General features: G+C 36.6%; 1 protein-coding gene across 4 annotated transcripts in view; it reads right to left on the bottom strand.

The window, feature by feature from the left end:
- Positions 1-25,381, bottom strand: part of AGK (acylglycerol kinase) — a 103,835-nt gene that overhangs the window by 26,264 nt on the left and 52,190 nt on the right. For all 4 annotated transcript variants that reach the window (XM_024446835.2, NM_018238.4, NM_001364948.3 and 1 more), the window contains exons 6-9: positions 17,694-17,786; positions 14,803-14,835; positions 13,416-13,510; positions 7,180-7,249 (exon numbers count right to left, since the gene is read on the bottom strand). In XM_024446835.2, the coding sequence (XP_024302603.1) occupies positions 7,180-7,249; positions 13,416-13,510; positions 14,803-14,835; positions 17,694-17,786 (291 nt within the window). The remainder of the gene's footprint in view (positions 1-7,179; positions 7,250-13,415; positions 13,511-14,802; positions 14,836-17,693; positions 17,787-25,381) is intronic.

The raw sequence follows: 25,381 nt of genomic DNA, 5'->3' as shown, positions 1-25,381 counted from the left end.
GTTCTGGGTTGGCAGGGTCTTAAGAATCTAGTTGAAAAAACAAAAAGAAAAAGCTACAAAGAATTCTATAAACCTTCCCAGTAATTACTTTAAAGTCAAGTTATCAGGCATCATAGATGTCTATATGGGAAAAACTGCCCTTCAAAAATCATGGAATGGTGCCAACTATGATGCCACCTGGACAAAGCACTTAAGTGGAAAAACCAACAGACTATGAGAAAGAAAATCTAAATTCTAGTTACATCTCCAGCACAACTCGTCATAATCAAAGGATTCTTTTTTTCCCTAACCTGTCAAATGAGGATACGAATCTCACCTCGACTTCCTCACTGAGTGGGAGATTCAAGTGAAATGTGAACACAGATTGAACAATCTAAAAAGCTAAATATAAGGCATTATTGTTTCCAAGAACTATTTCTTTTATCTATGGAGAATCGTCAGATATATGTTTAATAGGGTTGGATTGTTCTTTAAAAGAAGAAAAATGTGGTATCAGGCTTTATCTATAATGCTTATAGTACAAGGCTTTGTCTATAATCTTTTTCCCCATATTCTGAAATTAATTTTCAGAAATAAGGAAAAAAGAGAAAATGTATCCAACTTAGTTGGGTTCCTCAGAAACCAGAGCAGAGACTGTTGTACCACGTTTTCTAGGAACTGATTTTCAGAATTTTCTTCCTGGGTTGTGTCATCAATACACAGAGCCTGTGGTAAATTTGATACTGGTTTCATCAATTCACAAAATCAGCATATTTCAAAGAAAAACATAAAAGAGACAAGAGACATTTAAATATAAGCACAGGCCAGGTGCGGTGGCTCACGCCTGTAATCCCAGCACTTTGAGAGGCCGAGGTGGGTGTATCAGGAGGCCAAGAGTTCAACACAAGCCTGACCAATATGGTGAAACTCCGTCTCTACTAAAAATACAAAAATTAGCTGGGTGTGGTGGCATGCGCCTGTAGTCCCAGTTACTCAGGAGGCTGAGGCAGGAGAATGGCTTGAACCTGGGAGGTGGAGGTTGCAGTGAGCCAAGATTGTGCCACTGCACTTCAGCCTGGGTGACAGAGTGAGACTCCGTCTCAATAAATAAATAAATGAAAGCACAGCAAGAATTTCCAGTTAAATCTCAGATACTCTGGGATGGATTACTTCTAACACATATATAAGAAAGAATAAATCAGTTATTGAGATGTATCCTGATGCACCTCCTTTGGTAATAACAGTATTTTAAATAGTATCTCCATAGATAATAATCTGTAGTACCTTTCTTAGGCTGAAATTTCAGCATAGCCATCCCATTTTATGAAAACAAGTTAGCTTTATTATATGCTAAAAGATCAACTGCAATTTAAATCACTTTTATCATGATCAGTGAGGTCATGGTGAAGAGTCCAGACATCAGTGCACGAGAAGAAAATAAAAGGCAAGCCCATGGGTTCACCAGTTGTAAATATACATAGAGCAAGCTCTATGTAACTAACAGCAACTTTTTGGGATTGAACTTTGGAATCATGACACAGTGAGGATCCTTCTTTCACAAATATCAGGGAACGTGAATGAATATAAGATGTTCATCCTGAAAGTAGCTGGTACATTTTAAGGCCAAATCTAAGAACATGGGGCTCACTATTTATAGGGTTATTTTACTTCGCAGCTTTGCCTTCCTAGGAATTTGCCCTTTCCAGAAAAAAAAATAAGAGTTTAGATGAAAAAGGAATCGCTATGTAACTACTATCCAAGTGAGAATATCTGTTTTCTAAGAATTAAATTATTTTTTAATAGAGAACCCTGATCAAGAATTGACAACAGCTACTGGACCTTCTTACCCTCAAAGTTATTTTGGAAAAGTGTCAAACCAAAACAATTTTTAAACAGTACAATGAACACCATTTATAGCTTTCACCCAGATTCACCAGCTGCCAACATTTCCTCCACATTAGCTTTATCTATGTGTATATGTTCTCCAGAGATGTTAAATTTGCCAATAAATTGCAGACTTCATGACCCTGTACCACTAAATATTTCATCTTGCATCTCCTAAGAACAAGAACATACACAGACTTAACCATAACACCACTGTCCCTCTCAAGACATCTAACATCAATACATAATATTTAAGATATAGTTAATACTAAAATTTCTCTAATTGTTCCAATACTGCCTCTCATGATTGCCATTGTTTCTCATTTTTCCAATTCAGGCTCTTGTACTGCAGTTAGTTATTTCTTTAGTATTCCTTAATCCTGAACAGACTGTCTACCTTCTTTTGGATTTCATGACATTGACATTTTTTGATGAGTCCAATTTTTGCTTTTAGAATTTGGATTTGTCTAATTCTTCATGATTATATTCAGTTAGTTAACACTTTGTGCAGCAAAATACATAGGTGATGTTATAGCCTTCTCAGTATATCACTTCGGGAGGCAGACAATGTCAGTTTATCCATTATTCATGATGCTAAGTTTGATCACTAGATTTCTCCATTATCAAAGTATATTTTTCCCTTTTAAATTATTAAGTAATCTGAGATACTTTGAGACTGTGGGCTTTGTTTCCCAACAATCTTTTATCCAGTGGTTTTAGTATTCACTGATGATCTCTACCTGAATCAATTATTACGCAGGTGATTTAAAAAATGGCGATTTTCTATCATTCCTTCTGCATTTACAAGCTGGCAATCCTGAAATATCACTGGAAACTCATGGATTCTTCATTTTTAAGGCTTATGATCCATCATTGTTGTTCTTTGTAATATTCAAAGAGTCCCAAATTGGCGAGTAGGACACCTGCAGGCTACATCTTTTGTGATATCTCCATCAGCTTTTGAGTACTTTCTTGTCTTGTTATTGCCCTGCGAAAGCCAATCCTTCACAGCGCCTTGGCTATTTTTATTGGGAATGGTATTTCAAACCACCTTCTGGGTGCCAGGTATGATCACTGCTATTAGGTATCATTGCTTCTAAGGCTTTTTAAAAAATATATTTCTAAAATAATTCATCAGTTCATGTATAAATCAGTAAGAAAACATTACACAATAAGAAAAATGGGAAATTCTATTCCCACCTAGCATGCAGGAAAGTACGAAGAACATAGTCCCACCCTAAAAATGAGAAAAAGCCAGATAATCTACAAAATCATAACTTTAATAAAGCTCACCAAAGAGCTAAGATTGCAAGATGACCAAGTAGCCTGAATTCAAAAAAAGAAAAGCTACTCTAATAGAGTGATGAGATATGAGAACAGTTTCACCTTTGGCAGGGCATGAGAGGAAGAGGTGGCCACCATACACACAGGTAAAAATCATTGTCCTAAGTATTTTATATTTATTTATATTTATTAACTCTTTTAATATTCAAAACAACCATATGAGGTAGACGAATTACTTGTGGACCAAAGGTCATCAATAGATGAACTACAGCCTGGGCAACAAAGTGAGACTCCATCTATACAAAAAAACTTTGTAAAAAATTAGGCATGGTGGTATGGGCCTATAGTCCCAGCTACTTAGGAGGTGGAAGCAGGAAGATCCCTTGAGCCCAGGAGTTTGAGGTTGCAATGAGCTGTGATTGTGCCACTGCACTCCAGCCTCGGTGACAGAGTGAGATCCTGTCCAAAAATAAATAAATAAATAAAATAAAGGAACTAAAAATAGCATTTCAATTATATTGAGAGGAGATAGAGAGCAATTCTTATATACCTCACAAATGTTGCAGGTTCGGTTCCTGACCACTGCAGTAAAGTGAGTATCACAATAAAATGAGTCAAAAAAACTTTTTGGTTTTCCAGTGCATATAAAAGTTATATTATACTATAGTCTATTGAGTGTGCAACAGCATTATGTCAAAAAAAGTATGCACCTTAACTTAAAAAAAATGCTAACATTAAATGCTAAATTAAAAAATGCTAACAATTATCTAGGCCTTTAGTGAGTCATAATCTTTGCTGTAGAGTGTCTTGCCTCCATGCTGATAGCTGCTGACTGATCAGGGTGGTGGTTGCTGAAGGTTGGGGTGGATGTGACCATTTCTTAAAATAAGACAGCAATGAAGTTTGCAATGTCTGTTGACTCATCCTTTCATGAATTTATCTGCAGCATGTATGCAGTTCGATAGCATGTGACCTATAGCAGAAATTCTCTCAAAGTTGGAGTCAGTCTTCTCAATCCCTGCCAATGCTTTGTCAACTAAGTTTATGTAATATTTTAAATCCTTTTTTTGTCATTTCAACATGGTTCACGGCATCCTCACCAGGATTACATTCCATGTCAAGAAATCACTTTCTTTGCTCATCCATAAGAAACAACTCTTCATCCATTCAAATTTTATAAGATTGAAGCATTTCAATCACATCTTCAGGTTCCACTTCTAATTCCAGTTCTCTTGTTATTTCTACTACATCTGCAGTTCCTTCCTCCACTGAAATCTTGAACCCCTTAAAGTCATCCATGAGGGTTGGAATCAACTTCTTCCAAACTTCTGTTAACATTGTTATTTTGACCTCCTCCCATGAATCATGAATGTTCTTAATGGCATCTAGAATGGTGAATCGTTTCCAGAAGGTTTTCAATTTACTTTGCCCAGATCCTTCAGAGGAATCACTATCTATGGCAACTGGGACTATAGGCCCACACCACCATGCCTGTCTAATTTTTTTACAAAGTTTTTTTGTATAGATGGGGTCTCACTTTGTTGCCAAGACAGTAGTTCATCTATTGATGACCTTTGGTCCACAATTTATTTATTAAATAATAAAACTTGAAAGTTGAAATTATTCCTTGATCCATGGGATGCAGGATGAATGTCTGTTAGCAAACAAGAAAACAACATTAATCTCTTTGTACATGTCCATCAGGGCTCTCGGGTGGCCAGGTGCATTGTTAATAAGCAGTAATATTTTGATAGGAATTGCTTTTTCTGAGCAGTGGGTCTCAACAGTGGGCTTAAAATATTCAGTAAACTATGCTGTAAACAGATGTACTATCACCCAGGATTTGTTTTTCCAGTTATACAGCACAAGCAGAGTAGATGTAGCATAATTTTTAAAGGCCCTAGGACTTTTGGAATGGTAGATGAGCATTGGCTTGAACTTAAAGTCACCAGCTGCAGTAGTTTTTAACATGAGAGTCAGCCTGTCCCAAACTTTGAAGCCAGGCATTGACTTCCCGTCTCTAGCTATGAAAGTCTGAGATGGCACATTCTTCCAATAAAAGGCTGTTTTGTCTATATAGAAAACCTGTTGTTTAGTATGGGTACCTCTGTCAATGATCTTAGCTAGATCTTCTGGATAACTTGCAGCACCTTCTCCATCAGCTAATTGCTGCTCCACCTTGCACTTTATGTTAGGAGGAGGGCTTCTTTCCTTAAACCTCATAAACCAACCTCTGTTAGGTTCAAACATTTCTTCTGCAGCCTCTTCACTTCTCTCAGCCTTCATAAAATTGGAGAGAGTTAGGGCCTTGCCCTGGATTAGGATGTGGCTTAAGGGAATGTTGTGGCTGATTTGGTCTTCTATCTAGACCACAAAAACTTTCTCCCTATCAGCAACATGGCTGCTTCACTTTCTTTTTTTTTTTCTTTCTTTTTTTTTTCTTTTTTTTTTTTTGAGAAAAAGTTTTGCTCTAGTTACCCAGGCTGGAGTGCAATGGCGCGATCTCGGCTCACCGCAACCTCTGCCTCCCGGGTTCAAGTGATTCTCCTGCCTCAGCCTCCCAAGTACCTGAGATTACAGGCATGTGCCACCACACCCAGCTAATTTTGTATTTTTAGTAGAGATGGGGTTTCTCCATGTTGGTCAGGCCGGTCTCAAACTCCCAACGTCAAGTGATCCACCCACCTCGGCCTCCCAAACTGCTGGGATTACAGGCATGAGCCACTGCACCAGGCCACACTTTCTTATCATTCATATGCTCACTGTAGTAGCACATTTAAGTTCCTTCAAGAACTGTTCCTTTGCATTCACAACTTGGCTGTTTGGCATAAGGCCTAGTTTTCAGCCTATCTCAACTTTTAACATGCCTTTCTCACTAAGCATACCTATTTCTAGCTTTTTTTCTTTTTTTTTTTAAATGCCCAGCTAATTTTTGTATTTTTAGTAGAGATGGTGTTTCGCCATGTTGGCCAGGCTGGTCTTGAACTCCTGCTCAAGTGATCCACCTGCCTGGACCTCCCAAAGTGCTGGAATTACAGGCAAGAGCCACCGCACCTGGTCTCATCTCTAGCTTTTGATTTAAAGTGAGAGACAGATGCGTCTTCTTTATGTGAACACTTAGAGGCCAAGTAGGGTTATTAATTGGTCTAATTTCAATACTGTTGTGTCACAGGGAACAGAGAAAGGTAGGGAAATGGCTGGTTGGTGGAGCAGTCAACGCACACATTTAATTAAGTTTGCCATTATATGTGGGCACAATTCGTGGTGCCCCAATTACAATAGTAACATCAAAGATCACCGATAGCAGATCACCATAACAATGTAGTAATGATGAAAAAGGTTGAGGTATTGTGAGGATTACCAAAATGTGACACAGAGTCATGAAGTGAGCACATGCTGTTGGAAAAATGACACTGGTAGACTTGCTTGGGGCAGGGTTGCCACAGACGTTCAATTTGTAAAAAGCACAATATCTGTGAAATGCAGTCAGGCAAAGTGTAATAAAATGAGGTATGCCTGTATAACAAAGAGGTCAAAGATAAGGTCTAAAAGTGATAAATCAAAAAGTAGTTAAAATTAGCCAGTTGTGGAGGTGGGTGCCTGTAATTTCAGCTACTTGGGAGGCTGAGGCAGGAGAATTGCTTAAACCCAGGAGGCAGAGGCTGCAGTGAGCTGAGATTGTGCCACTGCACTCCAGCCTGGGTGACAGACCAAGACTCCTTCTCAAAAAAAAAAAAAAAGTAGCTAAGTGTACTTAACACTACTGAACTGTATACTTAAAAATGACTATAATGATAAATATTATGCTTTTAGCCACATTTTAAAAATAGGAGCAAAAGCATATTAATTAGTGATAACAACTAGAATTAACAGGTAAAATTATTTCCTCTGGGGACTAATACTTGGGGTAGGAATGGAAGAGCAACTATTGTTTTCATTATAACCTCATTTGAACTGCTACATTTTATTTTCTTTAACATGTAAGCGAGTATTACTTTCACAATTTTTCCAATATGTGATGAAAAGATTTACCTTGATCTGCAAGACATCAAGTGGAACTGTCTCTCCTTTCACAATGGCAAGTGTGGCATCAGTAATATGTCTAAAAGAGAAAAGGAAATGATCATATTATGAAAAATAGGCAACATCTCCCCCACCACACTGCCACATGCACTCATGCACAAACACACACACACACATATTCTCTCTCATTCTCTCTCTCTCCCTCTCTCTCTCTCCCCCTCCTTCCCTCTCTCCCTCCCTCCTGCCAAAGTACTAGTAGTTTATAGGGACTCAAAGAGAAAGCTTTGGCAAGGAGAAGTTCATACAAGGCACTGATCATTCATTCATTTAACATTTACTGAGTCTCTACATTGTGCCTGACTCCTATTTACCATTGGAAAATATGACACTTAATAACTTTTTTTATTCATTGTAAGAAATTCAGGCATTTCCAAAAACAATACTTATTCTTGCTCTAACAGCCAGAAGAGTAACTAAAGGGCAGAATTTGTTATAGTTATCTTAGCAAAATATAATCCAGAACCTGAGACATATTTCTCTTATTTTCCAGGACTACTAGGATGCGCTTCATTTTAATTGCTGATTCTTTTGAACACAGACCGTTCTTATCTACATTCTGAGAGCCATTTGGAAAGTCTATAGGTTAAAAAAAGTATCATCAAAAGGCATGTACTATTGACATCCATGTAGCATGTGAAGGGAGGGGAAGCAATGATTAGGTTCGATGATTAGGTCTCAGGCTTTAATGAGCCTGTCTCTGGACTTTGAACAAATGTTTCTCAGTTTTTTCTCTTCCCTTAGGTGGACAGAATGGCTAGAGTAGGCTGGAATTGGCTTTTTCCCTTCTCCCACATGCAAGGCTGGAGCTGACTAGAATTAAGTATTTCCCTTCTCCAGTTAAACCTTGATAATACTCCAGCAGGTTGGGCTCTGGTTAACTTGTTTCTCCTGAGGACAGGCCTTGTTAAGAAGAACAGAATACTGTGGCATATTTCAAAATGGTTCCTTTTCCCCACCAGTGCCAGAAGTATAAGGCGATTTTTCTCTGATATTTATTGTGAGCTCCTGGTTGAGCTCCTGGAGGCATATCTTACAATATTGTGGGGGACTCCTTATGACTGGATCCCAGTAGACTGGGACTCCTCTCAGAGCTAATCACACTGAGCTTCAGCAATTTATCAATTACAGGTCAGGTTTTCCTACCCTGGCACTGGTTTCCAAAGTGGTTTCCAAAGTGGTTTCCAGTGTGTGTCTTCGTTAAGTCAAAATCCCCTGTATTCCCCTGTCTCTCCAATCTTGGGGGCAGCAGTTTGCCCTATGTCCTACCTTCTCCTTCAGATACAAGAAGAGTTGCTGAGTTTTCAGGTTGTTCAGCTTTTTGTTTATTGTTAGGACAGAGTGACAACTTCCAAGCTCCTTACATGTGGAACTGGAAACTGGAAGTGTAACTTCTTTTTTAAAGTTAGATTTATTGGGGTATGATATATACACAGTAAAATTCATACTTTTAGGTACACTGTTTTATAAATTTTGACAAAAGCTGCAGTCATATAACTATCACCATGACAAATATATATAACATTTTCAACATCCCAAGAAGTTCCTTCATAACCCTCTGCAGCCAACCCACTGCCTGCACCTTCAGCTCCTGACAATTACTATGTTTTCTGCGTCTAGAGTTTTGCCTTTCCCAGAATGTCATAAAATAGAATCGAAAAGTATGGAGCCTTTCCAGTTCAGTTTTTTTCTCTTAGCATGAGCTTGAAATTCATCTACACTATTGTTTATGAATGGATGTATCAGTAGACTATCCATATTCCATTGTATGGATGTACTGGAATTTGTTTACCCATTCATCAGTTGATGGACATTGGCATTGTTCCCAGTTTTTGGCAGTTAGGAATCAAGCTACTATAAATATTCATGTACAGGTTTTTGTACGGACATATATCTTCATTTCTTTTGAATAAGTACCTATAAGTGTGATTGCTGCTCATATGGTAGGTATATGTTTAATTTTACAAGAAACTGCCAAACCATTTTCTAAAGTGGCTACCATTTCGTATTTGCACCAATGATATCCAAGAGTTTCAGTTGCTGCATTTATTTGACGGGTTTTTGTTTGCTTTTTTTTTTTCTTGTTTATGCTGTCCTAATAGATGCATAGTGGCATCTCATGGTAGATTTAATTTGCATTTCTCTAATGACTAAAGATTTTCTTCTAGAAGCTTTACAGTTTTAGGTTTTATATATAGGTTTACAATCCATTTGATGCTAATTTTTAGATATAGTGTGAGGTATGGGTTGAAGTTTACTTTTTGTATATGTTCAACTGTTCCAATACTGTTTGTTGAAAAAAACTGTCTTTTCTATTATACATTGAATGGCTTTGGTGCCCTTATTGAAAAATCAATTGTCCATATGTGTGTGGGTCTAATTCTGGACTCTTTCTTCTACTGATTTATGTCTCTTGTTTTGCCAGCACCACACTGTTTTGATCACTGTAGCTTTAGAGTAAGTATTGGAATTAGATAGGGTAAATCCTTAAACTTTGTTCTTTTTCAAAATTATTTTGATTATTCTGCTTCCTTTATTTTTCTATATAAATTTTAGAATCAATTTTTCAATTTCTACAAAAAGCCTTGTGAAACATTGATTGGGATTGTATTGAATTTATAGATCAGTTGTGGAGAGAATGACATCTCAGTACGAAGCCTCACAATCCATGAACACAGAAGTATCTCTATTTACTTAGGTCTTCTTGATTTCTCTCTTCACTGATTTGTAGTTTCCATCATATAAATCTTACACATATTTTGTTAGATTTATCCATATGTATTTCATGTTTTTGTAAAGGTATATCAGTGTTAGTGTCCTATTGCCTCTATTGTTACATAGCTATATTTTGGAAAAATAAATACGGTAATTATTATTAATAAAGTAAAATATTTTGTCTGGAGTTTAAGTACAACTACAAGTAGAAGTCATTTAGAAAGTACTTTAATTTCCATTCAAAAAAGGGCAGTTCCTAACCAAACAGGGCACCTCCTAATCTATTCTGCTATGTGCAGAACTGGTTGATACTGTGAATTTCATAGAAATTGTTGCCATCCTATGGTAACTGATTTGAATGACTACAAAACATTCTTTCCTTTTTTAAACAAACAAAAAAAACTTTTCTAGGTGAAGCAGTTAGCAATAGAATAGAGGCTTATCTGTTTTGATTTATATTTGTTTTAATTATAGAATCTAGACTCAGTAATTGTAGTCAACCTATTTATTTACTGTTTGTCCCCCCAAATGAATTTTTAATAAATATGAATAAAGTCCACTTTACTAGGCATAATTACACTTACGTAAATAGACCTACTTTAGCTTTTTAACAATCTTCTGAAGTAGGTACTACTAGTGTGCATTTGATAAACACATGTAAGAGAAATTGAGGTTCAGAGAGATTGAATGAAATTACCAAGAGGACAGAGCCAGCATGTCACAAAATGAAATTTGTCTCCAAAGATGTGCTAACTTAACCTGTAAGGCTGCTTTGGACGTATCAAATGGATATCAATGGATTCCCAAAGAAAAAATCCACATCTAAAATCTGGGTGCTCTACAGGCCTCCCCATCAATGTGCTCAGGACTAAATGTAAACACCTAAGGAATCAAATCCACCTAAACCAGTGTTTCTAACAAAGTTAGGTACAACTTAAGATACTTTAAAATCCCAAGATAGACACATTAACTCAAATGCTTGGATTAAACTCTAGCTGAAACTATTATACTTTCTCATGTTTCTCTATCAACTCATTTTTACACCATTTTTTTCTCTCCAATATAGATGCTACTTGGGAAGTAGGCAGCAGTTTGGAATATGAGTTTCAGTGTAGGAGAAAGTAAGCAGCATGCTCACAAGTTTAATTTGATATGAATATATTAATTCTGAAAAAAGCTATCAGAAAGAATCCTAAAGCACTGTACTTATTCTGAACAGTATTTAACACACTGAGAGATTTAGTAAATGCCTTTGAGAGGCTGACCTTAAAAAAAAATTGTTGTAACTCATCAAGTCTTTTTATATTAAATTTTTTTCCTAAATTGCTGGCAGAAGACAGCTAAAATTGCAACCTATAATTTATCATTCTCCTGCCAATAACTAAAAGTTCTAAATAAAGCAGCACTGTAGCATGGAATAGCACTTTTCAGATTATTTACTTGCAACATTCCAAATTCAAAATTCTTTTTTCCTCTGTGGTAACTATGGTACAACAAATCTTGACAGCAGTGCAAAAAGCAAAGCCTTGTTCTTTTTAAATAGCCTTAGGCTTCTGCCATTTTATGAGGCCTACAGAACTCTGAACTCAGGACAGACTTCCTGGATTACCTAACAGCCCTGGGGCATGCTTATAAATTAAGTTTTATAAATTTTTAAACTATAAATAGCAGCAGCAACAGTAGTAGTTTAACTACAAGAGAAAATCAGTTCCCCCAAACTGAAGACTCTCTCAGACCCTGGGGGTTGCCACACTCTGTGTAAATTAGCTTTTGGACAGGCAAGGGGTCTCCAAGGAAAATGGTCTACCCTTGGATCAATGACATATGCTATTTGGAATACTGGCTAAAGCAATTCAAAAAATCTACACTGACACAAGGAGAAGACAAGCTCTCTAATGTAACCAACACCTGAATCAGACAGGATTCATCTTGGAAAAGCAAAAATGTGAGCAATTAACTGTCATTATCTACTGCCCCTCAGAAATTCTAAACCGGGAATAAAAAGTATGGCCAACTGACTTTGGGAGGCCGAGGCGGGCGGATCACGAGGTCAGGAGATCGAGACCATCCTGGCTAACACAGTGAAACCCCATCTGTACTAAAAATACAAAAAATTAGCCGGGCGTGGTGGCGGGCGCCTGTAGTCCCAGCTACTCGGAGGCTGAGGCAAGAGAATGGCGTGAACCTGGGAGACGGAGCTTGCAGTGAGCCGAGTTCGCGCCACTGCACTCCAGCCTGGGCTACAGAGCGAGACTCTGTCTCAAAAAAAAAAAAAAGAAAGAAAAAGAAAAAAAAAGGATGGCCAACTGAAATGGCCTCTCCTGTAGTTAGGCCCTCAGGATGGCTAATGAATAGCTGAATAATCCCCATTATATTAAGGTTTGAAATATAAAAGAAGTTTGAATGAAGATCTGACATATATATATGTGTGTATGCCTAGTGTTTTGAAAACTGGACTAAGATGCTTATTAAAATATAGAATTGTTAAAAGAGATACAGTTGACTCCTAACATTACAATAGCAAAAATAAATTCACAAAAGCCAGCCTAATCAAAGAATTCCAAAGCAGAAAAAAAAATCCTTAACCAAAACAGAAAATCACTTGGGTATTATTATTATTTATTCTAGAAGATTATAACCAGAAAAATCATGAGAAAATTTTCATTAAATCATGCAACAAATATTTATTTATTGACTTCCTCCAATGTGTCACAAAGCTTACGTTAACCATCAGGCAACTGATCTCTCAGCTATCTCTCCATTTATTTGGGTCTTCTTGACAACTATTTGCTCAAAATGATGTTATTAATCACTGTCAAAGCTCAAATTCAAGATTCCTATCTTCTTGAAAGAGCAGAGCTTTGTTTACATAATGCCTTCAAGCAAAAAAGAACAATAATAACAACAATTTGCTTGACTCCCAAAAACACTGTGAGACTCACAGCAATTTAATTTAGATGTCAGAGCTACACTGCTTTCCCAGTCTACTTTGTCTACACTGTCTACCACTTTAAGTATTCCCAAAAGGATGTGGCTATATTTACTTGTTTTAGCTATTTTTAATATCAAGATAATGAAGCCAGGCTACTAGTTCAGTCTTCACAAGGGACTTGTTATTTGTCATTGCATATACTTAAAGCAAACAAATGAGCAGCACAAATATGTCTTCACTAAAGAATCTTACAATGTACAAGCACAAAAACGGTTTAGGTCAGGGATATTATCTTCATAACTGACAAAAGGACATCAAGTATTCACCTCCCTACCTGACCTGGAGACTTATTATAAGAGTCCCACAACCAAGTTGGGAGACTTCCCAATGAACTGAAAGGCTGAACTCTGATCTAGGTCCTCCTCTTAATTATTTGAAGTTTCAGGCTATCAAAACTCAAGAAAGTTATAGCATACACATAAATTTTTCATTCCCAGTCTCGCTCACCCACAAATGCTAATTCCCCACATTGACAACCTACTGGACTTTGTTTCCACTTTCGGCAAAGAGGGTATGACTCAAACTACTGGTCTCTCCCAGTGGGATAAATCCAATGGGAATCTTACTGAAGGTAGCCTGGGGGGGGAAAGAAGAGGAAAGTTTTATTGTTATGATCAGAAAATCAGGCTTAATGGAGAAGCACAGGTGTGTCCACTATGACAAATAACTGACCCTGTATCTGCCTCCCCATCTCCTTTCCACATCCTTAGACCAGTAATCAAATAAAGCTAGGTGGGTAATTTCTAAAACAAGGCAGTCAATGAAAACAAAATGACTCAGAATTTGGAAGAAATATTTTAGTACTCATTAATGACAACTGTTTGAAAGAAATTTGGTTAAGATAATGAGGGTTTTGAAGATAATATATCAATGCACTAGTGCAACAGAGACTGTATAACATTGTCACACTATTTGATAAAGTTGCAGATAAAATTCAACTAAAAATGTCTACCATTTATACAGTGACCAATGACAGGTGAAGGTGCTTTATAAACTATCTTAAGTACAAATAAGGCAAAGAGAATAAACAAGTTCAAATAATAGATGGTACTGGCATAGCAGTTAATTAAATGCCACACATACAATAGATACTGTAAGGTTCAAAACAATTCTGAGCACAATGTACTATTACCAAAGGGACTGAGAAGGATCTTCTAGCTATTGTAGAAAAGTGCATAAAATAATGTTACAAAAACACCCATGTGCCCACAACCTATATTTAACAAATGTTAACATTTACCTTTTTGCTTCATATGTTTCAAGAAATAAAACGATAGAGATACAATGAAAGTCCCTTCTAAAACTATTCTCCTCTCTCCCTTCCCAGAGGAGACCATTATCCTGAGGTTGGTGTGATTCCTTTTCATCCACATTATTATTCTTTTGCTACATATTTAAGCATCCATTAACCATACATAGTATTGTTTTCTGAATTTTAAAACACTGTAGAAATGCATAACATACCTGGGCAACCTGCTTTTTTTTTTATTCAAAACTTTTGAGATTTAGCCATGTAGATATTTATACATTTAGTTCATTCATTTTAACTGTTAGATGATTCCCACTATATGAATATGCCACAATTTCTTTTATGAAAAAGTTCTTTGAAAAAAAGATTCCATAACAAAATTTTAAATAACCATTGTCAAAGTTATTGGATACCATCAATTACCAAACCAGAAAAGTCCCCATGTGTTAATATACGTGTTCTATGACATGGGTAGCAGTATTTTCTTTTCTAAAATTCAAGAAAGCACAATTTGTACCCGTTTTAAAATATACAATGGAAAAAAAAAGTAAAAGAAAGAAAAGCAATAAAAAAGAACAGAAAAATAAAAGTTAAAATGCAATTACTCTTTAATGCTCACCTCATCTGTTCGTCGAAGAACACCAGTAACAACCTACAAATGTAATAATAAAACATTGTTATAAATAATATGTATTTCCTTTACAATAAAAGAATTGGATTCAATTTTCATAGACCATAAACTTACTCCTGTTTTCTTCTTAGAAGCTCTGTTAAAAGATGCACTGGATCTTAAAACATATAGTATTCTCCAATAGAATCAGAGCTAAATTAGATTTTATTTTTGACCTATGATCAATAATACAATAAAGGCTAAGATAAAATAATTATAAAAACTCCAAGTTGTATTACTAAAAATATGTTTTAAGTTCTATAAAATGGGTATAAATATGATGTACACATCAATTATACAGAAAACCCTAGTTTACCACTATGAAGTACATATACAGGAAAAAAGCACTTTGCTACACTCAGAGAGTGTGCACTTAACAAATCGTTCTTATTGACAAATATGAAGAAGGATAGTATTCTGTAAAAACTGAAAAATACCTAAATACAAAAAAAAATTCTCATAATTCCACCATGCCAGATAAACAACTATTATTATTTTGTTTTTCTTTTGCAGTGGAGTCTCACTCTGTCACCCAGGCTGGAGAGCGATGGCATGATCTCGGCTCACTGCAACCTCTGCTTCCCAGGTTCAAGCGATTCTCCTGCCTCAGCCTCCCAAGTAGTTGGGATTACAAGCACCCACCACCATGCCCTGCTAATTTTTGTACTTTTAGTAGAGACGGGGTTTCGCCATGTTGGTCACGCTGGTTTCAAACTCTGGACCTCAGGTGATCCGCCCACCTTGGCCTCCCAAAGTGCTGGGATTACAGGCATGAGCCACCACACCCAGCCCCAGATAACCAATTATAAATCACTTGTTTATATTTGATATATTTCCCTCCAATCCTTTTTCTAATCAGTGCATATTTTTATATGACTGTAATTATACCAAATACACAATTTCTTTAAAAACATTTTGTAAAGTAAAACCTGACCCAGATCTCCTCCCTTCATCTTCTCCTGCCTCACTGAATTTCAGGAATAAATGGGGCTGTTGAGAGGTCTACTTCCTTCTTTGTAGGCATGCTATCAATATTCTTCACACTTCATTAAAAAGCCATAAAAACAATTACAACATCATTAGCACAGCCTTTTTAAAAGAAGCTTACTAAGGCTCACATAATGACTAAGTCAAACATAGGACAGTACTCTGCTGTTAGCTTCTGATCCCTGAACACTGGTAAAACCAATGAATGGGGACAACAGGCAATCAGAAATGAGGTATGAATATGAAATATAGTATACAGGAATGAAAAATTAAGCAGTGCGTGGGATCACCTGCACTGGGCTCTTTAGGGGTTTCCAAAATATAATGAATGCACTACTCTGCTGCTAGAAAAGAAGAGTACTTGCAGGGTAACATACTTACCGCCCTTAATGGACCAAAGTAAGCATTAAGGGTATCTTTATTAATAAATTTTATGTTTTAAAAGTAGTTTTAGGCTCACAGCAAAATTGAGAGGAATACAGAGATTTCCCATGTCCCCTCTGGCCCCCTATACGTGAACCTTCCGCCCATTATCAACATCCTTCACCAGAGTGGCACATTTGTTACAACTGATGGACCTACATTGACACCTTATTATCATCACCCAAAGTCCATCGTTTACACTAGGGTTCCCTCTTGGTGTTGCAGATCTATGGGTTCCCACAAATGTATAACACTTATACATTTGTGTATAACAAATACACACAAAAAATTTGTGTTAAACAAATTTGTGTGTAACACAAATGTATTCACCCTTACAGTATCATAATGAATAGTTTCACTGCCCTAACAATCCTCTGTGCTCTGCCTATTCATCCCTCTCTTCAACATCTGGTAACCTCTGACGTTTCACTGCCTCCATAGTTTTGCCTCCTCCAGATATCAAATTGTCGGAATCACACAGTATGTAGTCTTTTCAGACTATCCTCTTTCACTTAGTAACATACATTTAGGTTTCCTCCATGTCTTTTCATGGCTTGATAGCTCACTTCTTTTTAGTGCTGAATAATACCTATTGTCTGAATATATCTCACTTTACTTATTCATTCACCTACTAAAGGACATCTTGGTTGCTTCCAAGATTTGGTAATTATGAATAATGCTGCTACATGTGCAATTGTGTGGACACAGGGTTTCAACTCCTTTGGTAAATACCAAGGAGCATGATTGCTGGATTGTATGTTAACAGTGTGTTCAGTTTTGTAAGAAAACACCCAGCTGTTCCAAAGTGGCTGTACCATTTTGCATTCCTACCAACAATGAGAGTTCCTGTTGCTCCACATCCTTGCCAGCATTTGATATCATCAGTGTTCTGAAATTTTGGCCATTCTAATAGGTGCATAGTGGCATCTCATTGAGAAGATGCAATATTAAAACAAAAGCAGATGCATGTATCTTAACATGTATACCTCTTCCTATTAATGTAGTATAATATTATATGTAATGGAAATGACATGAGAATGGATAGCTGAATATCTGTTTATTTTATAAGAAACATACCTGTTGATGGAAACTATGATTCCATTACAAACAGGGCTACTTCATAAGAGTCTTCAAAATATAACAAGATTATCCCATCCACCATCATTTTTTCTTCTGTTATATTCAATATTATCAAACTTAAATATGATAATACAAAAATCCTTCTATGTGCTGGGTAGAGGGTTTACAAAAAGCAATGAAATGGAAGTGCAGGAGAAAAATTTAAAGCTATACTAGCTTTAGAGAGCAACAATCCTAAAATAATGAATTAAAATAAAAAATTTCTTTAAATTACAACATACCATTGCTCTAGGATTTAATTTCCATTTTTCTCACCTTCAAAATAGCTTCAAAGAGAAAAACAGTCATACCTCCTGCAGTGTCCCATCTCCTCCTGCAACAATGATCACATCCGTGTTTTCCATCAGTTCCAGGAGTTTCTTGGCTTGTCCCTCATAATCTGTCTGAAATACCAAGGAAGCCTTTGGTGAGTTTATCAACCTAGAGCCACAAGGTTAAAGGTTTAAAAATGTGGGATATCTTCTTTAAAGTTTTACATTGACTGTCTTCGTAAATTTTACATAACTGATAGACATGAAAAAAATAGCTATCAAAGCAATTATGTATAGTCGTTACAGTTTTACACTTTTAGAGCCAGAGGGACCTCAGAAACCATCTAGTCAGCTCCATACTTTGAAAATAAAATTCAAACCCAATAATTTGTCTCTTACACAGCTAGCTAGTCAAGGGCATCATTTCCAGTCAAGTGCAGATTCTATTACATCCTTTATAGGAAGTCAAGTGTACATGCAAATAGGAAGAAGCAGATGTAATGACAAGAGCACAGATGTCAGAGCCCAAGAGACCTGGATTAAATCTCAACTCTGCTACTTTTTAGCTGAGTGACCTTAAATTCTATGGATCTTAATTTCCTCATCACTGAAATTATGTGTGTTGAGGGAGGGAATAATGATAACTTCTCAGTAAACCAGTTGTAAAGCAGTATGTAAAGCAACTGGTAAGGTAACTGTTCATAACTGGTATTGCACTAAATAAAAGGAGGTTATTATTGTTTTGTTATGACCATACATAAAGAAATACAGGTAGGATTCAAAGTAGTCACAAAACAATGCCTAAGACTTACCATTTTTATTGATACCATTTGATTTCAGATACATACATAGACTTCAATGAACCATTTAAGCCACCAATAATATGTATACTTCTAAAACCAAACACTAAATTTCAATAGACATAATGCAACTAATATTAAAATAGGAAACACTCCCTCCAACTGATATCACACTATACATACTAATAGACAAAAATTAAATGTCTGGATTTCAGATGGGCTTAAGCACCTATGGCATAATAAAAATATATATATATCTGGGCCAGGTGCGGTGGCTCACGCCTGTAATCCCAGCACTTTGGGAGGCCAAGGCAGGTGGATCACGAGGTCAGGAGATCAAGACCAGCCTGGCCAACATGGTGAAACCCCGTCTCTACTAAAAATACAAAAATTATCCAGGCATGGTGATGCACGCCTGTAATCCTAGCTACTCAGGAAGCTGAGGCAGGAGAATCGCTTGAACCTGGGAGGTGGAGGTTGCAGTGAACTGAGATTGCACCACTGCACTCCAGCCTGGGCGACAGAGCAAGACTCTGTCTCAGGAAAAAAAAAAAACAAAAAAAAACCCATACATACGTACATATATATACATATGTATGTCTGGTCTCTGTCCTTGGTTCCTGGCAAAGAGTTCCTAAAACCCCTGGAATTTCCTGAGCGATAAAAATGTCTTTTGTTATTCATGGCAAGGCCCTCTCAATCTTGCCAGTTTGTGCTAATGAGGTGATTGGTGGGCCCCTGAATAGCTTCAAGATGGGAGCTGGTCACCAGAAAGATCAGCAAGGTGATTAGAGGGTTGGAACTTTTAGCCCCACCCCTAACCTCCAGGGAGGAGCGAGGGGCCTGAGATTGAGTTAACTCACCAATGGCCAATGATTTAATTGATCATGCCTGCTTAAGGGAACCTTCCTAAGCAATGGAGTGTGAGGAGCTTCCAGGCTGGAAGCAAATACCTCAACACTGAAGTGTTGAGAGGAGGCACACCTACAGAGGGCATAGAAGCTCTATGCCAATCCCTCTGCCCCCATACCTTGACCTATGTATCTTTCCATTTGTTGTTCCCGAGTAGTATCCTTTATAATATACTGGTAAACTAAGTAAAGTGCTTTCCTGAGTTTGAGTTACCGAACCTGAGGGGAGGTTGGGAGAACCCTGGATTTGTAGTTGGCAGGTCAGAAGAACAGGTGACCATTTCCCCAAGATGTGAGACTGGCGCCTGAAGTGTGGACAGTCTTGTGAAACTCAGCCCTTAACCCCTTGGAGTCTGCACTAACTCCAGGCGTTGGTATCAGAATTGAATTCCATCAAATTGAATTGAATTGTTGGACATCCAACTAGTGCAAGAAAAGACTCCAGCATCTGAGCCAGTAAGTCCTATATGACATTAATTCACAGTGAACACAGAGGAAAAAGGAAGACTCCTTAAAATACTACCATCTAATTTTAGGATGAATAGTTCCACTTTTATTCTAAAAATAAAATTATGGGCTTTATAGTTACATATTCGCAAATATTTGACTTTTAAAAAAATGTATGTATGTCAATCCTGATGAAAAGGATGGTTCATGAACACCCAGAAATAAGTGATCATGAGGAATTAGCCTGTGTTCTCACTAAGGCCAAGTGATTTCATACTGTCCTCATTTCCTTCTTTGACAGATTAGCTACATTAGTAGATCTTGGAAATTAGACAGACACATTACATCAGGTCTTTAGCAAGATGCCTGGCAAGTCACTTTATGATATCCCTGTGGACAAGGTGAAGACATGTGGAAACAACATGCTAGAAAACAAGTAAGTGGATGAGCTACCAACTGAATATCTATGTCCAAAATGTGATGCTCATTGGAATGATGTCAAATTGCTGGAAGATTCCTAGGACATTTCATTGAGGGTCCCCCTTCAGCCTTTTCTTAGGCAATACTTTGTCAACAATGGAAGTGAAAGGTAATTTACTAGATACATAAATGATACAAAGCTGACATTTTCCCCTCCTTACTTCTCTAACCTCATCCTCTCTTACTCTCACCCTTTGCTCATTTCACTCCAACTACACTGGCCTCTTTACCATGCTTCAAATATGTCAAATACACACATGCCTCAGGGCCTTTGGACATGCAGTATCACAGCTCGTGATACTGTGATACTTCTTCCTCAAGCATCTACATGACTAACTCATTTCCTTTGGGTGTCTGTTCAAAGCTCATCTTGTCAGACCCACCTTCCTTGACCATCTGCAGTAAAATAACACCCCTATTAGGAGTTAATAGTAATAAGTAAAATAACCTTTGTCTCCTTACCCTGCTTAATCTTTCTTCTTAGCACTCATTGCCATCTGACAAATTATACATTTATTGATATATTTGTTTCTCACCTGCATTCTTGCTTTCAAACCTTGAAATGAAGCTCTTTAAGGACGGATAGGGAATTTATTTTGTTAAGACTATATCCCCAATACCTAGAACAAGGCTTAGCTCATAGTGGGCACTAAATAAATATTTGTAAAAACACATTAATAAATGTGAAAAGGTGTATGAATAAAAGAATAAAAATTTTAAAAGATCTTGACAGATTTGACAGACCATAATTTCAAAGATTAATAGAGATAATATTAATATATTTGAGGCTCTGATCTTAGAAAAAAAATCCCAAATGCACTAAAAGAGGAAGGATAAAAAGGTGGCCTAACAGTTGCCCCCTCCCAGAAAAAAAATCTAGACACTAACCTTACACTTTTCAAAAAAGCTAACTCAAAATGGATCATAGGCCTAAAGGTAAAATAACACAGGAGGGAATTTAAGTGATCTTGGGGTTGGTGATGAGTTTTTAGATACATCACCAAAAGCAATATCCATGAAAGAAAAAAAAATTGATAAATTAAAATTCAGTAAAATTTAAAACTTCTGCTCTATGAAAAACACTATTATAAGGATAAAAAGACAAGCCACAGCCTGAGAAAGAATATATGCAAAATGCATAGCAAACAGCTTGCATCTAAAATATATAAATAACTCTTAAAACTCAACAAAAAGAAACCAGCCCAATTAAAAGGGCAAAGATCTGAACAGACACCTCACCAAAGATCTACAGATGGATAATAAGCATATGGAAATACACTCAACATTATATGTCATTAGGGAATTGCAAATTAAAACAATGAGATTTCATTATACATTTATTTCAGTGGCTAAAATCCAAAACACTGACAATAGCAAAGACTGACGAGGATATGGAACAAGAGGAACTCTAGTTCACTGGTGGTAATAATACAAAATGGTACAGCCACTTTGAACGGCAGTTTCCGATAAAACCAAACATAGTCTTATCATATTATCCAGCAAAAGCACTCCTAGGCATTTACCCAAATGACTAGAAAACTTATTTATGTCCACCCGAGAACCTGCACATTAATGTTTATAGCAATTTTATTCATAGTTGCTAAAATGGAAGTGACCAAGATGTACTTCAGTAGGTGAATGGATAAACTGTAGCACATTCAGACAATAGACTATTGCTCAGCAAAGAAATGAGCTAACAAGCCATGAAAACACAATGGAGAAACCTAAAATGCATATTGCTAAGTGACAGAAGCCAATCTGAAAAGACTACATACTGTATGATTCCAACTATATGACATTTTAAAAATAGCAAAGTATGGTGACAGTAAAAACAGCTGTGGAGGGAAGGATGAATAGGTACAGCAGAAGAACAGAGAGGATTTTTAGGACAGTGAAATTAATCCGTCTGATAATATAATGGTGAACACAATGCATTATGCATTTGTCAAAACCCATAGAACTGTGCAACACAAATGCAAATGAAAACTATGCAAATGAAAAGAGCAAATGCAAATGAAAACTATGGACTTGAGTTAATAATAATGCATGAATAATGGCTCATCAATTGTAGGAAATTTATAACACTAACGCAAGATGTTAATAATACAGGAAATTGTGGGCAGGGGAGAGAAGGAATATAGGTTTTCTGTGATTTCTCTTGAATTCTTCCTTAAACCTAAAACTGCTCTAAAAAATAAAGTCTACTTTTTTATAAAGTGGCTTGATGGTACATAGCAAACAAGATAATGAGTCCAATATGACTCAAAATATGATATATCGACAACAACAAAAGACTCTGAGCTTGAGCTGTTTGAAAGAATAGTATATGGAACAAGAGACTTGGTGGTCTTGCTTTACTCTTCCTTAGATAGCCCATACCTCATGGAAAGAAACCGGAAATGTTTAAACCACAGAAGGCTCAAGGGAGCATCAGGATAACATTCTTGATTATTCCAAAGACTATTTTGCGGAAGAAAGATTAGGCTTGTTTCACATGAACCCATGGGATAGAACCAAGCCTGAAGTCTATGATTCTCAATCCAACTACACATTATAATCACCTGGGAATGAATAAACAAATGAACAAGTAAATGAATGAATGAAATTATTTTGTAAATACAGACAGACTCCACTCCACATTAGTTATATCTAGGGAGTGTGACCTGGGTACGACTTACATTTTTAAACATTTCCAGGTAATTTGATATTCAGCCAGAGTTGAAAACCACTGATCTATGTGTAAAAACTCTTGGGAAACAGATTTCTTCTCAAAATTAGGAAGAATATTCTAATAGTGCTATCCTAAGATGAAATAGGTTGTCTTGGAGCTTTCATGTCAAATGGGAGACAAAGCCTAAGGTAGAAAGCACATGCCTTAGAGTCGACAGACCTAGGTTTAAATGAGTTTTGTCACTACTAATTGTATAACTGAGCAGGTTTCTAGATGTTTGTATCTTCAATTTCCTCATTCACAAAATAAAGATGATAACACTCAACTTCACTGAGCTTTATGTGACTTAAATAAAACCAGCTATGTGAAGTGCTACAATTCCATTTCTAAAAGAATGGTAGGCTAGGTACCCTGCCACTGAAAATTAAAGCTACTGAGTAAAATAATGAAAACATCTTTGATGCATCAATAAACGAGAATAAAGTAAGGAACACTAAATATAAAACTAGCACCTATGCAGTAAATGTTCTGAGGGCATCTAGTAAACCAGGTAGATCTGAATGTTGGTTTTCAAAGCTTCACCAGGTTCTAGGAAAAGCAAACAAAAATCCCAGGACCTGCTCAAGATTAGTGAATCTAGTACAGAACCACATCCCACTATAAACCAGGACCCAAAAGACTGCATGTGCAGTTTAGAGAGAATAAAAGCGGGGTTGACTCACTCATACTCCTCGACGATTCCCAGGGCACTGCAAAGAAACTTTCGTGTTCTGAAATTTGGTGCTAAATGAAGGGATAAACATCTTCCCTGAGAATCCATAACTTTAGGCTAGTCCTTACATAAGTAACCGAAATGCGTGCTACCTGGATAATCTGAAAAATCTCAAGCTAAAAATTTAATTTAAAGAATTCACAGGACTGTCATACATATATTATGCATTGAGAAAGACACAACATTTTGTGGTACTTCCACTAAACTACATAATCTGAATCTAATTATAACAAAACAGTAGATAAACCCAAACTGAAGGACGTTCTTAAAAAAAAAAAAATTGAGGAATTTTTTAAAGTTGCCTAAACAAATATCACAACTAAATACAATATGTGATCCCAGATTGGATGCAGAACAAGAAAAAGTGTTTTTTCTTTTGTTATAAATGGCATTCATGGAACAATTGGAGGCCGAGGCAGGCAGATCACGAGGTCAAGAGATCGAGACCATCCTGGCCAACATGGTAAAACCTTGTCTCTATTAAAAATACAAAAATTAGCTGGGTGTGGTGGCACGCACCTGTAATCCTAGCTACTCAGGAGGCTGAGGCAGGAGAATCGCTTGAACCCGGGAGGCGGAGGGTGCAGTGAGATGAGATCATGCCACTGCACTCCAGCCTGGTGACAGAGTGAGACTCTGTCTCAAAAAAAAAAAAAAAAAAAATTCTACAAGATAATAGTACATCAATGTTAATTTCTTGATTTTGATAACTGTTCTTGCAGTTATATAAGAGAGTGCCCTTGTTTTTAGGATATAGATATTTAGAGATAAAGGAACATTATTTCTGAAACTTACTCTCAAACAAGCCAGAAAATAATATGTGTGTGTGTGTATGTATGTGTATATATATATATATATATATATATATATACACACACACACACATTCATACATATGCACACACATACATGTAAAGAGAGAGCATGTGTAAACATGGTAAAATGTTAATACAGTATTTGAGGAGTTTGGGTAAGTGATATGGGAATTTGTATATTCCTGTACATTTTTTTTATAAGTTTGAGATTATTTCAAAATAAAAGCTAATCCAAAAGAAAGAAAACAAACCCTGTAAAGAGTAGTGGTTTCTACTGAGGCATAAAAAGTAAACATTAGTATTTCTATTTATTTTTTAATCTCATCCTTCTAAATGTCTATTTTCTGTATATGTAATGTACATATTAGTACTTGCATATAATTGATAAGTATCTTAAACTGGAAAAAATCACAAATACATGAGTCACAGGACATTTGATAGTATAAGATGGGGTTAGACAGTGTAAGATGATAAAAGAGAATCGCTACTTTTCCTAAGTATGAAAATGGCACTGTAGATAAATATAAAAGTATTCTTATTTGTTTAAAAATACACATAAAAGTATTTAGGGATAAAATTAGAGGATATCTGTAACTGACTTCAGGGAACCGAGCTACCATGTCAAGATACATAGTGGAGACAACATGAGCCAGGGGACAGCCAGCATCAACTTGGAGACGTGAGTAAAGCCATCGAAGACCACCCTTCCTCAGCCATGCCACTATGAGCCCAGGCGAGACTACTGACCAATGGAATCATAAGCAGAAAAACAGTGAGGCCTTTTGTTCTGTAGCAATAGATAACTGGTATAGAATGTTGGAATGAATTAAAC

The sequence above is a fragment of the Homo sapiens genome, chromosome 7, assembly GCF_000001405.40.
Source record: "Homo sapiens chromosome 7, GRCh38.p14 Primary Assembly".
Taxonomy (NCBI): Eukaryota; Metazoa; Chordata; class Mammalia; order Primates; family Hominidae; genus Homo; species Homo sapiens.
The sequence above is the reverse complement of the archived record's forward strand: the minus strand, read 5'-3'. Positions and strand labels throughout refer to the sequence as shown.